At 41.4% G+C, this 16,520-nt stretch overlaps 1 protein-coding gene across 9 annotated transcripts in view, besides 1 other annotated feature; it reads left to right on the forward strand.

Moving 5' to 3' along the window:
• Nucleotides 1-16,520, forward strand: part of MRAP2 (melanocortin 2 receptor accessory protein 2) — a 113,105-nt gene that overhangs the window by 24,295 nt on the left and 72,290 nt on the right. For 7 of the 9 annotated variants that reach the window (XM_017010220.2, XM_017010221.3, NM_001346542.2 and 4 more), the window contains one exon: nucleotides 5,421-5,520. The exons of 1 other annotated variant lie outside the window; for it this stretch is intronic. In XM_017010220.2, the coding sequence (XP_016865709.1) occupies nucleotides 5,421-5,520 (100 nt within the window). Of the gene's footprint in view, nucleotides 1-5,420; nucleotides 5,521-9,148; nucleotides 9,267-16,520 lie in introns of those variants that run through there. One more of the 9 variants, XM_047418133.1, reaches the window with a different exon arrangement.
• Nucleotides 15,480-15,980: an enhancer, noted in NCBI's record as "H3K27ac hESC enhancer chr6:84782671-84783171 (GRCh37/hg19 assembly coordinates)". NCBI's record gives its function as "activates a minimal SCP1, AML or CMV promoter by ChIP-STARR-seq in naive H9 embryonic stem cells {active_cell/tissue: H9 hESC(naive)}" and the evidence as "EXISTENCE:reporter gene assay evidence [ECO:0000049][PMID:30033119]".

Here is a 16,520-nt window from a genome sequence, read left to right on the forward strand (position 1 = left end):
TGTTTCATCTGAGAAGCAACCTCAGATGGTGCTTGAGAATTCTTTTGCCATCAGTTTTGAATCCAATATTAAACCTTATCATGTATCAGAAGTGGACATGTATCTGATACAGATTTGGCACCAACAAAGTGGAAACCTATTTATTTATTCATTCATTCAATATATATTTATTGAGCACCTGTTATGTGCAGTACTATTTTAAGCACTGGAGAGACAACAGTGAACTGAAAAGACAGAAATATTTCCTTGTATAGAGCTTGCATTCTAGTGGGAGAGACAGACAATAAATAGTTAAATAGATAATGTCAGATGGCAATATAAAAGGATAAATAGAGTGGGGGTAAAGGGATGTGGAGTGTGGAGGCGACAGTATAGAATTGCCATCGAAAGCCTTACTGAGAAGGAGAGATTTGATAAAAGACCTGAAGGAAGTGAGAGATTGAGCTATAATATATCTGGGGGAAGAACATCCCAGAAAAGGATCCTTGGCGGGAGTGAACTGGATCATGCAAGGAGGCCAGCGTGGTACCAGGGGAGTGATAAGAGGCAGAACAGCAGGAAACGAAGTCAAAGAGGCTGTGGGGACAAGGACATGGGGGGGCCTTAGAGGTCATGCTAAGGACTTTGTTTGGCCTTTTACTCTGAGAAGTCACTGGAGGGTCTGGAGCAGAGGAGTGCCATCTGGCTTAGGTTTCAACAGATCACTCTGCAACTGCGGAGTGAAAGGCATGAGATTAGAAGCAGAGACCATTCAGGAGGCTTTTGCCATAGTCCAGGCAGCTGATGATGGTGGCTTGGAGCCAGGTAGGGAGAGTGAAGTGGTGAGAAATGCATACATTCTGGATATTTTTAAAAGATGGATCTGGCAAGATTTGTCAATGGATTGGCGGTATGTGTAAGAGAAAGAAGAGTCAAGAATGATTTGAAGATTTATGACCTGAGTAACTGGCAGGATGGAATTGCCTTTAACTGAGAGGGGGAAGAGTATGGGAGAAGGAGGTTTCAGAGAGGAACCCCAGGAGCTCTGTTTTGGACCTGTTAAATTGAGACATCTATCACATATCCAGGAGGACAAGGGAGGAGAGGTGTCGGGGGAAGCCGTAGACTTGAGAGTCATCAGCATGTAAACGGTATGCGTTCAAAGCCAAGAGGCTGGATAAGTGAGTGTAGACAGAAAACTGAAGAGTCCAATGCTGAGCCCTGGGCACGCTTGTGTTTAGAAGTTGGAGGGTTGCATAGCAGCATAGGTGCCTGAGAGGAATGTACAGAAAGTAGGAAGAAAACTGGACAATTGTGGTTTTTTGGACGCCAACTGAAAAAAGGGTTGCAAAGACAGTCTGTGTCAAATGCTGCTATTAGGTCAAGTTAATTGAAGACTGAGATTTGACCATTGGATTTATAATGTAGAAGTTACTGGCAATGATTTGAAAAGCAGTTTTAGTGGAATGCTGGGGGTAAAAGGTTGATGGAATTGGTTCAAGAAAAAATGAGAGGAGAGGAATTGGGGACAGCATGTACAGACAAATCTCTCAAGTGTCTCACTATAAAGGGAAGGAGAGGAATGGGTCATTTATGAAGAGTGTGGCTGGGTGAGACAGGGTGTTCTTAAAGCATCAGAAGCAAAAGCTGATGAGTCAATGAGTGGACAATCACATTTTAGCAGGACCACTCTGGCCGCTGTGTTGAGAAAAGACTAAAGGAATAGCCTCTTAATTTGAGCTATCAGTGGTGGCCAAATTCATGCTTTTTCGTGTGCCACCTTGCAGATACCAGACCCATGCATGGATGGGTCAGCAAGAAGCCAGGTCATTAGGATGAGAAACAGCTAGAGTTTGCAAAGGCTTGGAGTAAGATAGTAGAGACAAGTGTGGGAACATCACTGTTGGCTCTTTGCCAGGAATTCATATCACAGAATTGGCCCTACTGCCTTAGGAACAAAAAGTGGTGTGAGGAAAGTGTCATGAACCTCTCTTTCAAGTGAAGTATTAACCCTTGTTTTTCATATAACCACGAAGTGGAAAGTTCACCATTTATTCTCAGGAGGTGGAGAGGAGGGTGAGTCGGATGGAGTAGTTAACCTAGTCCTACCCTAGATTGGGAAGGAAAAAAATCATGTCAACTTTCAGCTCTCTTGTTCCATTCCATTCATTAAAGGTTAGGTTAAGGGGGGTTACTTTATTCTGACGCATTCCATTTGCAATTCCCCTGGGCAATTGTTCTACCCCTTTACAATAGTAGTCTCTAAGTAGCTCAGTGTCTAGACAGGACAGAGTGTGGTAGCTTGGCGGTGGTGGAAACTCGTTTGGAAGGCTTCTTTTGACTTTCTTAACCATCTAGCCTCATTGGAGCTTTGCTCTGTATAAAGCTTTATTCTGACTTCTTCCCAGAAAAGGATGCTTTTGGGAAGACAACGGGCTCCACTTTTCCCATCTTACTGTAGTGCCTATGCCCATGAAACTTACATGTGAATAAAACTTCAGGAGAGTTTGGATATTTCTGGGATGAGATGGGGATCTCTGATGTTTCTTGTAAGAGGCTCAGGGTGAGAAAATCCCCTGGGGATGGGTCATAGGGCAGAAGATGAGGTTGGGGGAAATTAGTGGAAATAACTTGAGGAAGCTAAATTTTGTTCAAAGGGAAATGTGAATAAGCAGAGCTACTTAAAGCATATTGCCATGAAAAACATAGATGCCGCATTATTAAGGAAATGTTTGGAAATGCTGTTGGATCATGAGGATTCTCAGATTTTACCCACAGCCTGCCTCTCCCCAACTCTGCCGCCACCTGCCTTCTCTGAAGGCTGTAACCCTCCCATGCTTCACATTATTGCTGCTTTTTGATTATCTCCCTGGGGGTACTTAGAAGGGCAGAGGGAAGGGGGACTGGGCTGGGTTGAGGGCACGCTTTCCTCCACCTCTGGGAGTCAGTCCACCATTTGCAGTGTGAAAGCTGTCCTTAGGAGAACACCTTCCTAATACACAGATTTGAAAAATGTCAATCAACATGATTCAATTCTAAACCGAAGACTTAAATATAGCATTGGTGTATAATTTTAGAATTTGCTTTTGCTATGCAGGCAGTTGATAAAGTACAGTGTAGGGAACTGTTATTTATCTGTACAATGTTTCTTCACAGTCCATGCCTAGATAGTTGAGATTTAATTGTTTCATGTTAGTTGTACCTCAGTACATGTGGTGTTTGGTATTTGTCCTTACATCTTTTTTTTTTTTTGAGACGGAGTCTTGCTCTGTCACCCAGGCTGCAGTGCTGTGGCGCGATCTTGGCTCACTGCAAGCTCCACCTGCCGGGTTCACGCCATTCTCCTGCCTCAGCCTCCCGAGTAGCTGGGACTACAGGCGCCTGCCACCACACCCGGCTAATTTTTTTTTTTTTTTTTTTTGTATTTTTAGTAGAGACGGGGTTTCACTGTCTTAGCCAGGATGGTTTTGATCTCCTGACCTCGTGATCTGCCCGCCTCGGCCTCCCAAAGTGCTGGGATTACAGGCGTGAGCCACTGCGCCTGGCCCTTATGTCTTTTTTTATGCCTCATTTCTACTATATTAAAAGGCAAAGTATACAATTTCTATTTCTTTGGCACTTAAGGTTAGACACATTAGTTTTTCAGAGTGCTGAATACACATTGTTAACCTCTAGGCAATAGTATATGTAGGATGAAAGTATGAATTATGCAGAGTAAATTGTTAATCTGATTTCTTCACTTTGGAAAAAGTGCTACATATACATAATTTAATTAGAATAAAGCTTTGCATTTAAACACATTTAATATTTAAGCTCTAATCACTTATTTTTAGAAAATTGCTAAGCATCCTCATTGTATTTCCACATAGACAAGCTTCTTAGTGTAGGCCAAAAAATGTAGAATGATTCAACTCTGTTGTGTCCTAGATTTGAGGCCTTATTGTGCAAGTACCAAGTTCTGTAGACAATCCAATCTAACCCTGGTCCTAGAGATAAAGAATTGTGATTGTTATCCAAGATAGGACCAAGGAGAGCCCTGTTTAGGGAATTACAGACAAAAATGTTATTGGGTTCAAAGGAGGGAGACAACACATCAATTATGGAAATTAGTTGAGGCTTAGTAGATAGTGTAGCGGATGGACTTGGAAGGATGGATACACTTTCATTAGCTCCACGTTGGGAAAAGTTGTTCCAGCCAGGTAGTGGTAAGAGCCCTGGTAAGGTGTGGCTGTGAGGAAGCTGTGGCTAAGGTAAATACAGGGACACAGTGTCCCCTAGTTTGATTGGAAACACATGGCTTTTAAAGTGGTAAATTGGGAGAAAATGACAATTCTAATGACAGTAGCCAGCACCTGTGGTGTACTGTTTTCTCAGATGTCAGACATTGTATAAAGTGCTTTATGTGTGGAATCTCTTTTACTCTGGAAAAGTGGGTCAGTTCTGTTTTTGTTGGAGAGCTTTTCATGAAAGAGCAATATCATCAGGGCTGTGATTAAAGCAGGTTTGTACAGAAATAAAGCACAGGGAAAGGCAGAAGGCAGAGAGAGCACTCAAGAGGCCATCTGTATGTTCTCTGCAAGAAGTAATGAGAGCCTGAATTATCCATGGTGAACGTAAGTGAGAATGCAAAGTTGCTACCTAATTGAGATGCTAACCAATTGAGTTGTTAAACTAAAATTTGGCCCAAGAAGGCCTCCATTATTTGCATACTTGCATTCTTAGGTATGAGCTGTGACCTAGCTTACTAGGTAAGCAAACTGAAAACCTAGCCAATGCTTCTGTAACAATAGCTCAGTCTCAGCTAATCACAGCAGCTACACTTCAGGCACTCCCAGGCAGACAGCTGTTCAAATGGTGTTCAAATCCAGCTGTTTCCGTACCTTGCTTCTTTTTTCTGTACATCATTTTCCTTTTTCTGTCCCTAAATCTTAACCAACCATGAGGCAGCCCAGAGTCTCTCTGAATCTATTCTGATTCTGGGAGCTTCCCGGTTCAAGAATTTTGTTTTCCTTGCACAGTTAATATCTGTTAAATTTAATTTGTCTAAAGTTTTTCTTTTAACAGTAGGAATCCAAATGCACTTAAAACTTGAGTTGATAGTCTGCTAAAAATTTTATTTTCTAACTCAAAACACATTAGTGGAATCTTGAGGTCCTAGATAACCTATGCTCTGGTCTAGGTTCCTTCCTTGAGATATGGAAAGCATGAGTCAATGAGGCCTAAATCCCTTCATGCTATCTGAGACAGAAACCTGGAGGCGGAGCAGACTCTTCCCTCCTCCTCATCCTTTACATCTTATCAGTCTCCAGCCAACTGCGGATCAGACTGTTGACTTCCTTTCATGTTTCATGTACCAAAGCCTCTCCAAAAAGCTCTGATTCTTGAATGTTCAAGTTTTAAACTACTGTGAAATACTAATCCCAGAATTAACTGTCTTTCAGATTCCATTGTGATTGGATTTTGGGTTGGTCTTGCAGTCTTCGTGATTTTTATGTTTTTTGTGCTGACCTTGCTGACCAAGACAGGAGCCCCACACCAAGAGTAAGTTTGGGCTGTTCCTAAATGTCTCTTAAGCCTCACAGGAGACTGAGGAAATAGAAACTACTACCCAGGGCCGGAGGTGCTTCCCGTGGATGAAGAGAAGGGGGTGGTTATAGATTTGCTGTCTGGACCCAGATGCCCGTGGATGGGATCCAGCTATTCTCCTGGCTTTTTGTTTCTTGCGTCTTGGGCTTATTTTCAAGTGGACTTTTATGAAATTGGGTTTCTTGGTCCTTTCCTACAGTCTTAATGATGATGTGGGCCTGATTTTTACATTGAAATGTTTATTAATTACAATGTATTTTATTCATATTCCCAAAAGGATTTAGATGATTCACCATATTAAAAACAGTGGAAAAGACAATGGCAAAATAGGATGAAAACCAGTTTTAAAAATTATTTCAAGAAGCAGAGTAATAGTTGTTCCTGGATACTCAACTCAATTTAACTATTGACAATGATTAATAAATTTAACAGAGTTTTCTTAAAACTAGGATACAAAGGCAAACACTGTGGTTTACATAATTCTCATAACATGGTAGGACTTGTGATGATGCTGGACTTTGGATTGATGGAGGAAAGTATTACATGAGTGCTTAAAGAACATTGAGAAACATCAAAAAGTATTTGTTCAGTAATGGCTTGTAAAAAATTCAGAAATATATTAAAGGATTTATATATTTTATACCAAATTTTTAATAAAAGGGAAAATAGAGAATATTGAATACCTCATTAGTCAGCACCAGCAGGCAACAGTAATTAAAAGAGTTTTTGGCCGGTATGGTGGCTCACGCCTGTAATCCCAGCACTTTGGGAGGCCAAGGCAGGCAGATCACTTGAGTCCAGGAGTTCAAGACCTGCCTCGCTATGGTGAAACCCCGTCTCTATTAAAAATACAAAAAATTAGCCTGTTGTGGTGGAGGGCACCTATAGTCCTAGCTACCTGGGATGCTGAAGCACAAGAATCACTTGAACCTGGGAGGTGGAGGTTGCAGTGAGCCAAGGTCACACCACCGCACTCCAGCCTGGGCAACAGAGCCAGACTCTGTCTAAAAAAAAGAAAAAGAAAAAAAGTTTTTGATAAAGGGGCTGTGCGGAAGTTATGGACAGGGAAGAGGGCAACTACGCAGGCTCATGCAGGACAGCAGGGCTGGCAACACTGAGGAGCAGCCATCCTAGATCCCAGGAAGCAAGGGGTGGGGCCACAGCTGGAACCCTGGAGTCTGCTGAGAGGAGTTGTGACTTTGGGCTGAGGGACACAGCTAATCCAGTGTGACCTCTCAGGGAAGGAGCCTCAAAGTTAAGACCAAGACCTCAGTCTTCTCCCTCCTTCCCATTTCTCACCATTGCTCCCCACTGGCTGAACACAACCAGCAGCCAGAGGCTGCATCAAAGGCTAGTTTCCCAAGCACAGAGCAGGACAGGGGAGGGTGGGAGAGACCTGGGAGAGTGAATATAAGTTTCACAGGAATCCTGGCATTTTGGTTTTGTTTTGTTTTTTTGTTTGTTTTTTGAGACGGAGTCTTGCTCTGTCACCCAGGCTGGAGTGCAGTGGCGCCATCTTGGCTCACTGCAAGCTCCGCCTCCCGGGTTCACGCCATTCTCCTGCCTCAGCCTCCCCAGTAGCTGGGACTACAGGCACCCACCACCACGCCCAGCTACTTTTTTGTATTTTTAGTAGAGACAGGGTTTCACCATGTTAGCCAGGATGGTCTCGATCTGCTGACTTCGTGATCCGCCCGCCTTGGCCTCCCAAAGTGCTGGGATTACAGGCGTGAGCCACCGCGCCGGGCCGAATCCTGGCATTTTTATATTCAGTATCTCATTTTTGCCTCACAGCCTGGCAGCAGCTCTCTTTCATGGTTGTGTCTCGTCACAGCCTCCGGCATCTGTTGTTCACTCTTCAGCCTGCACTTGAACTATAACAAATGCCTGTGCAAAGGGAACAGTTCTTGCCATCACTCAGCTATTTCTAGATATCAGGGGCTAGGAAGAAAAAAATGTAAACACAGCCAGGCACGGTGGCTCATGCCCGTAATCCCAACAGTTCTGGAGGTCGAAGTGAGAGGATTGCTTGAGCTGAGGAGTTCGAGAACAGCCTGGGCAACATGGCAAAACCCTGTGTCTACAAAAAATACAAAAATCAGCCGGGCATGGTGGTGCACACCTGTAGTCCCAGCTACTCAGGAGGCTAAGGTGGGAGGATCACTTGAACCCAGGAAGTCAAGGCTGCAGTGAGCTGTGATTGTGCTGCTGCACTGTAGCCTAAATGACAGAGTAAGACCCTGTCTCAAAAAAAAAAAAAATTTAAACACAAACATTTTAAATGAAAGGAAAATATCATTTTTATTGAAGCATTTGGAGACATATGGCTGAGAATCTATTTAACAACCACTAAAAAGACACAAGCTTTCCTTTTTCTCTCTTCATGTCATTGTAAATATTCGCACATGCTTCACTTCTATTATATTGGCCCAGCGAATTTGAAAATATGGTGTGGGTTACAAGAGGGTTAAGAAAAGCCTAGAATAAACTCAGATTAAGGCACAACTCGTAGAGTGGTCAGGGAATAATAATACCCTGTTAATCTTCCTTTTCCTCAGAAGAACCAATGGAGTTTTGTGGGTTATTGAGATAGATGTGTGTGATGTAGAAGACAGGAGATTTTAGGACTAGGAACACTAGCATGAAATAGAATGTGACTTCCTGTGATGGTTAATTTTATGTGTTAACAATTCTAGATGTTTCTGTGAAGGTATTTCTTAGTTGAGCGTACCATTTATCAGTACTCTTTGGATTAAGCAGATTACCCTCCATGCTGTGAGTGGGCCTCATCCAGTCAGTTGAAGGCCTTAAGAGAACAAAGACTGACCTCCTCAAGCCAAAAGGGATTCTACCAGGACACTGCCTTTGGACTGTCTCCACCCTGCCAGCCTACTCTACATATTTGGGACTTGCTGGTCCCCAAAGTTACATGAGGCAATTCCTTAAAATAAAACTCTCTCTTTATAAACACACACACACACACACACACACACACACACACATTGTGTTGGTTCTGTTTTCTCTGGAGATCCCTGACTAATCTTCACTTCCGTGTGGTGTCATGGCAACCCTGGGTAGTTGAGACTTGCCTTTTAGCCTTACAGTTGGCAATTCCCTTTTGCCACTAGACAGTCTGTCTTTGATGATTATTCTGAACAATGCTCAATCACAGAACAGGGGTCATTTTAACCCTGAATGCTTCTAACAAGGTTAAGGAAAAATAACTTTTTATAACATTTAAGAAAATAATGGATGTTCCCTCAGGGCCATATTTTAAATGCTTCTAAGCACAATATGACACAGTATAAGATATGGCATTTGGTTGCAGTATATCATAATAGAAAACTGAAAGAATCAGAACATGTGGAAAAACATTGAAATAAATCTGTTATAAAGGCCTTTAGGTCTTAACAAACTTGACATTTGTTTGGCAGGAGTTTCCTTCTTAGGTGGACATTGTTTTTTCCATATAGCCAATGTTAATAGAAAACAACTAATTTTAAGTTTGCCTATGATAATTAGGGGGTGAGGGGAAGGACGATACAACATTGAAAATAATAAGAGCCATTTTTTTTGATTCCAGGGTCAACTAATTACTTTATATCTCACCAAGTCCTCACAGGAAGATGAAGTAAATTCCATGTGTTCCCACAATACAGATAAGAAACATGAGGCTGAGACACTTGCCTAAGGCTTCACAGGTTAAAGAAAAAATGTAGAGTCAAACCTCAAACTAAAGTCTCTTCGGTGCTGAAGTTCCTGTCATTAACCACTACACTCAACTATCTCAGATTGGCAATTTTTAATCTCTTCCTTCTATTGAACCGGAGATGTTAGCAAGCAACCAGATTTGTTATTTTTTCCATAAATTATTGGGGTACAGGTGGTATTTGGTTACATAAGGAAGTTCCTTAGTGGTGATTTGTGAAATATTGGTGCACCCATCACCCGAGCAGTATATGCTACACCATGTTTGTAGTCCTTTCTCCCTCACCCCCTCCTTCTCGTCACCCCCAAGCCCCCACAGTCCATTGTTTCATTCTTCTGCCTTTGTATCCTCATAGCTTAGCTCCCACGTATCAGTGAGAACATAAGATGTTTGCTTTTCAATTTCTGAATTACTTCACTTAGAATAACAGTCTCCAGTCCCATCCAGATTGCTGCAAATGCTGTTAATTCATTCCTTTTTATGGCTGAGTAGTGTCCCACCATATATATCACAGTTTCTTTATCCACTTGTTGATTGATGGGCATTTGGGTTGGTTCCACAATTTTGCAATTGTGAATTGTGCTGCTATAAGCATGTGTCTGCAAGTATCTTTTTTGTATAATGACTTCTTTTCTTCTGGGTAGATACCTAGTAGTGGGATTGCTGGATCAAATGGTAGACCTACTTTTAGTTCTTTAAGAAATCTCCACACTGTTTCCCATAGTGGCTGTACTAGTTTACATTCTACACCAGCAGTGTAGAAGTGTTCCCTGATCACCACATCCATGCTAACATCTACTGTTTTTTGATTTTTTGATTATGGCCATTCTTGCAGGAGTAAGGTGATATCGCACTGTGGCTTTGATTTGCATTTCCCTGATCACTAGTGATGTTAAGCATTTTTTCATATATCTGTTGGCCATTTGTATATCTTCTTTTGAGAATTGTCTATTCATGTTTTTAGCCCACTTTTGGATGGAATTGTTTTTTTTTTTTTTTTTCTTACTGATTTGTTTGAGTTCGTTGTAGATTCTGGATATTAGTCCTTTGTCAGATGTATGGATTGTGAAGATTTTCTCCCACTGTGTTGGTTGTCTGTTTATTCTGCTGACTGTTCCTATTGCTATGCAAAAGCTTTTTAGTTTAATTAAGTTCCAACTATTTATCTTTGTCTTTATTGCATTTGCTTTTGGGTTCTTGCTCATGAAATCCTTGCCTAAGCCAGCATCTAGAAGCGTTTTTCCAATGTTATCTTCTAGAATTTTTACAGTTTCAGGTCTTAAATTTAAGTCCTTAATCCATCTTGAGTTGATTTTTGTATAAGGTGAGAGATAAGGATCCAGTTTCATTCTTCTACCTGTGGCTAGCCAATTATCCCAGCGCCATTTGTTCAAAAGAGTGTCCTTTCCCCACTTTATGTTTTTGTTTGCTTTTTTGAAGATCAGTTGACTGTAAGTGGGTTTATTTCTGGGTTCTCTGTTCTGTTTCATTGGCCTATGTGCCCATTTATATACTAGTACCACACTGTTTTGGTGACTATGGCCTTATAGTATAGTTTGAAACCAGATAGTATGATCCCTCCAGATTTGTTCTTTTTGCTTAGTGTTGCTTTGGTTATGCAAGCTCTTTTTTGTTCCATATGAATTTTAGAATTATTTTTGCTAATTCTGTGAAGAATGATGGTGGTATTTTGATGGAGATTGCATTGAATTTGTAGATTGCATTTGGCAGTATAGTCATTTTTACAATATTGATTTTATCCATCCATGAGCATGGGATGTGTTTTCATGTGTTTGTTTTATCTATGATTTCTTTCAGCAGTGTTTTGTAGTTTTCCTTGTAGAGGTCTTTTGACTCCTTTGTTAGGTTATTCCTAAGTTTGTTTTTTTGTTTTTTGTTTTTTTGTGTGTGTTTTTTTGCAGATATTGTAAAAGGGGATTAAGTTCTTGATTTGATTCTCCGCTTGGTCGCTGTTGGTGTATAGAAGAGCTACTGATTTGTGTACATTAATCTAGTGTCTGGAAAGTTTGCTGAATTCTTTTTTTTTTTTTTTTTTTTTTTTGAGACGCACACTACCATGCCTGGCTAATTTTTTGTATTTTAGTAGAGATGGGGTTTCACTGTGTTGCCCAGGCTGGTCTCGAACTCCTGAGCTCAGGCAATCCACCCACCTCAGCCTCCCAAAGTGCTAGGATTATAGGCATGAGCCACTGTGCCCGGCCTGCTGAATTCTTTTATCAGTTCTAGGAGCTTTCTGGAGGAGCCTTTAGGGTTTGCTGATGATCATATCGTCAGCAAACAGTGACAGTGTGACTTCCTCTTTACCGATTTGGATGCCCTTTATTTCTTTCTCTTGTCTGATTGCTCTGGCTAGGACTTCCAGTACTATGTTGAAGAGGAGTGGTGGGAGTAGGCATCCTTGTCTTGTTCCAGTTCTCGGAGGGAACTTTTCAGCTTTTCCCCACTCAGTATTATGTTGGCTGTGGGTTTGTCATAGATGGCTTTTGTTACACTGTATGTCCCTTGTATTCTGATTTTGCTGAGTTTTAATCATAAAGAGATGCTGGATTTTGTCAAATGCACTTTCTGCATCTATTGAGATGATCATGTATTTTTGTTTTTTATTCTGTTAATGTGGTGTATCACATTTGTTGACTTGCATATGTTAAACCATCCCTGCATCCCTGGTATGAAACCCACTTGATCATGGTGGATTACCTTTTTGATATGTTGTTGGACTCAGTTAGCTAGTATTTTGATAAGGATTTTAGCATCTATGTTCATCAACGATATCGGTCTGTAGTTTTCTTTTTTGGTTATGTCCTTTCCTGGTTTTAGTATTGGGGTGATGCTGGCTTCATAGAATAAATTAAGGAGGGTTCCTTCTTTCTCTATCTTGTGGAATAGTGTCAAAAGGATTGGTACCAATTCTTCTTTGAATGTCTGGTAGAATTCTGCTGTGAATCTGTCTGGTTCTGGACTTTTTTTATTGGTAATTTTTAAATTACCATTTTAATCTCGCTGCTTGTTATTGGTCTGTTCAGGATATCTAGTTCTTCCTGATTTAAGCTAGGAGGGTTGTATTTTTCCAGGAATTTATCCATCTCTTCTAAGTTTTCTAGTTTATGTGCGTAAAGGTTCATAGTAGCTTTGGATGATCTTTTGTATTTCAGTGGTGTCATTTGTAATAACTCCTGTTTCATTTTTTTAATGAGGTTATTTGGATTTTCTCTCTTCTTTTCTTGGTTATTCTTGCTAATGGTTTATCAATTTTATTTATCTTTTCAAAGAGCCAGCTTTATGTTTCATTTATCTTTTGTATTTTTTTGGTTTCAATTTCATTTAGTTCTGCTCTGATGATCTTGGTTATTACCTTTCTTCTGCTGGGTTTGGGTTTGGTTTGTTCTTTTTTCTCTAGTTCCTTGAGATGTGACCTTAGACTGTCAGTTTGTGCTCTTTCAGTCTTTTCGATGTAGGTGTTTAGGGTTATGAACTTTCCTCTTAGCACTGCCTTTGCTGTATCCCAGAAGTTTTGATAGGTTGTGTCATTATTGTGTTTCAGTTTGAAGAATTTTTAAATTTCTATGTTGATTTCATTTTTGACCCAATGCTCATTCAAGAGCAGGTGATTTAATTTCCATGTATTTGCATGGTTTTGAAGGTTCCTTTTGGAGTTGATTTCTAGTTCTATTCTACTGTGATCTGAAAGAGTACCTGATATAATTTCAGTTTTCTTAAATTTATTGAGGCTTGTCTTATGGCCTATCATAAGATCTATGTTGGAGAAAGTTCCATCCACTGTTGAATAGAATGTGTATTTTGTGGTTGTTGGATGAAATGTTCTGAATATATTTGTAAAGTCCATTTGTTTAAATCCATTGTTTAAATCCATTGTTTCTTTGTTGGCTTTCTGTCTGATGAGCTGCCTAGTGCTCTCCCTGGAGGATTGAAGTCCCCCACTTAGTTCTATAAGTAATTGTTTTATAAATTTGGGAGCTCCAGTGTTAGGTGCATATATGTTTAGGATTGTGATATTTTCCTGTTGGACAAGGCCTTTACCATTACATAATATCCCTCTTTGTCTCTTTTAACTGCTGTTGCTTTAAAGTTTGTTTTGTCTGATACAAGAATAGCTACCCCTGCTTGTTTTGGTGTCCATTTGCATGAAATGCCTTTTTCCACCCCTTTACTTTAAGTTTTTGTGAGTCCTTACATGTTAGGTGAGTCTCCTGAAGACAGCAGGTAGTTGGTTGGTGGGTTCTTATCCATTCTGTGGTTCTGTATTTTTTTAAGTGGAGCATTTAGGCCATTTACATTCAATGTTAGTATTGGATAAGAGGTACCATTGCATTCATGGTGCTCTTTGCTGCCTGTGTACTTTGGTTTTATTGTTTTTGCTTTTTAACTGGTATTTTTGTTTCATAGGTCCTGTGTGATTTATGCTTTAAAGAGGTTCTGTTTTGATGTGTTTCCAGGATTTGTTTCAAGACTTAAAGCTCCTTTTAGCAGTTCTTGTAGTGGTGGCTTGGTTGTGGCGAATTCTCTCAGCATTTGTTTGTCTGAAAAAGACTGTATCTTTCCTTCATATATGATGCTTAGTTTCACTGGATAAATAATTCTTGGCTGGTAATTGTTTGGTTTGAGGAGGCTGAAGATAGGGCCCCAATCCCTTCTAGCTAGTAGTTTTCTGCTGAGAAATCTGTTGTTAATCTGATAGGTTTTTCCTTTATAGGTTACCTAATGCTTCTGTCTCACAGCTCTTAAGATTCTTTCCTTTGTCTTAACTTTGGATAACCTGATGACAGTGTGTCTAGGCAATGATCTTTTTGAGATGAATTTCCTAGGTGTTCTTTGTGCTTCTTGTATTTGGATGTCTAGGTCTCTAGGAAGGCTGGGGAAGTTTTCCTTGATTATTTCCCCAAATGTGTTTTCCAAGCTTTTAGAATTCTCTTCTTCCTCAGGAACACCAATTATCCTTAGGTTTCATTGTTTAACATAATCCCAGACTTCTTGGAGGCTTCTTTCGTATTTTCTTATTCTTTTTCAATGTGTTGGATTGGGTTAATTCGAAGACCTTGTCTTCGAGCTCTGAATTTCTTTCTTCTACTTGTTCAATTCTATTGCTCAGACTTTCCAGAGCATTTTCCATTTCTATAAGTGTGTCCAATGTTTCCTGAAGTTTTGTTTTTCCTTTAAACTATCTATTTCCTTGAATATTTCTCTCTTTACTTCTTGTATAGTTTTTTAGACTTCTAGTGTTGGGCTTTGCCTTTCTTTGTTGCCTCCCTGATTAGCTTAATAACTAACCTCCCAAATTCTTTTTCAGGTAAATCAGGAATTTCTTCTTGGTTTGCATCCATTGCTGGTGAACTAGTATGATTTTTAGGGGGTGTTAAAGAGCCTTGTTTTGTCATATTACCAGAATTAGTTTTCTGGTTTCTTCTCATTTGGGTAGGCTCTGTCAGAGGGAAACTCTAGGGCTGAAGGCTGTTATTCATATACTTTTGTCCCATGGAGTGTTCCCTTGGTGTAGTACTCTCCCCCTTTTCCTATGGATGTGGCTTCCTGTAAGCTGAACTGCAGTGATTGTTGTCCCTCTTCTGGGTCTAGCCACCCAGCAAGTCTACCTGGCTCTGGGCTGGTACTGGGGGTTGTCTGCACAGAGTCCTGTGACGAGAATCGTTTATGGGTCTCTCAGCCATGGATACCAGTGCCTGTTCCAGTGGAGGTGGTAGGGAGGGGCAATGGACTCCGTGAGGGTTTTTAGCTTTGGTGGTTTAATGCTCTGTTTTTGTGCTGGTTGGCCTCCTGCCGGGTCATGTTGCTTTCCAGAGAGCATCAGCTGTGGTAGTTTGGGGAGGAACAGGTGGTGGGCAGGGCCCTAGAACTCCCAGGAGTATATGTCCTTTGTCTTTAGCTACCACGGTGGATAGGGAAGGACCATCGGGTTGGGGCAAGGCTAGGCGTGTCTGAGCTCAGTCTCTCCTTGGGTGGGTCTTGCTGCAGCTGCTGTGGGAGATGGGGGTGAGGCTCCCAGGTCAATGGAGTTGTGTACCTAGGAGGATTATGGCTGCCTCTGCTGAGTCATGCAGGTTGTCAGGGAAGTGGAGAAAAGCCAGCAGTCACAGGACTCACCCAGCTCCCATACAAATCGAAGGGCCGGTCTCATTCCCACCATGTCCCCACTAACAGCCCCTAATCTGTTTCCAGGCAATGGGCAGCCAGACTTGAGAACTTGCCCCAGGCTACCCTCCCCGCAGCTGCAAAAGAAAAGGGCTTGGTTCATTCCCCACCTATGGAGTCTGCACACTGGATTCGTGTCCTTCCCCGAATTCTGGCCAGGAGGCTTCTTGCCCCATTCAAATTGTTACAAAGTTCAGCTGGAGATTTCCTTCTCCCTGTGGTGTTTCTCCCCCTGATCCCCTGGCTCCTCTGGCCGCCCTGCCTATATATTCCTATGGTGCTAGGCAGGAATGGCCTGCTTGTGGACCCAGCGAGCGCCCAGGGCCTTTCTTCTTCTTCCTCTACCCCTGTATTTCACTCGGCTCTCTAAATTGACTCAGCTCCAGGTATGGTCAGAAACTTCTCCCACAAAGAGACTTTCAGTTTCTCTAGTGGGGATGTGTGTTCAGGAGAGGAGGCTCTCCCTTTCCCACTTCTGCAGTTGGGGCACCCACAGTATTTGGGGTATCTCCTGGGTCCTGCAGGAGCAATCTGCTTCCTTCAGAGGGTCTGTGGGTCCTCTTGGGATTGCTGGTTTGTTCTTGCAGTGGATCTGGAGCTAAAATTCAGTGTGAGCCTCTGCACACTGCTCTGTCCATCCAAGTTGGAGTTGCAATCTAGTCCTGCCTCCCATCCACCATGATGATTACTTCTGTTTATTTGTTTTTATCACATACTGTGCCAAGCACGGGGCTCTGGACTCAAACATTTCCAGGTTTACTTATTGAGACTTTGGCCTGGATTCTTAACTTCTCTGTGCTTGAGACTCCTTATATATAAATAAAGAAGTGTCTGCCTCCTGGGATTATTGTAAACCAAGCTTGTCCAACCTGCGGCCCAGAATAGCTTTGAATGCAGCCCAACACAAATTCGTAAATTTGCTTAAAACATTATGAGATATTTGTGTGTGTGTGTGTGTGTTTTTTTTTTTTTTTCTCATCAGCTATCATTAGTGTTAGTGTATTTTATGTGTGGCCCAAGACAATTATTCTTCTTCCAATGTGGTCCAGGGAAGCCAAAAGAT

The sequence above is a fragment of the Homo sapiens genome, chromosome 6 (assembly GCF_000001405.40).
Source record: "Homo sapiens chromosome 6, GRCh38.p14 Primary Assembly".
Classification (NCBI taxonomy): domain Eukaryota; kingdom Metazoa; phylum Chordata; class Mammalia; order Primates; family Hominidae; genus Homo; species Homo sapiens.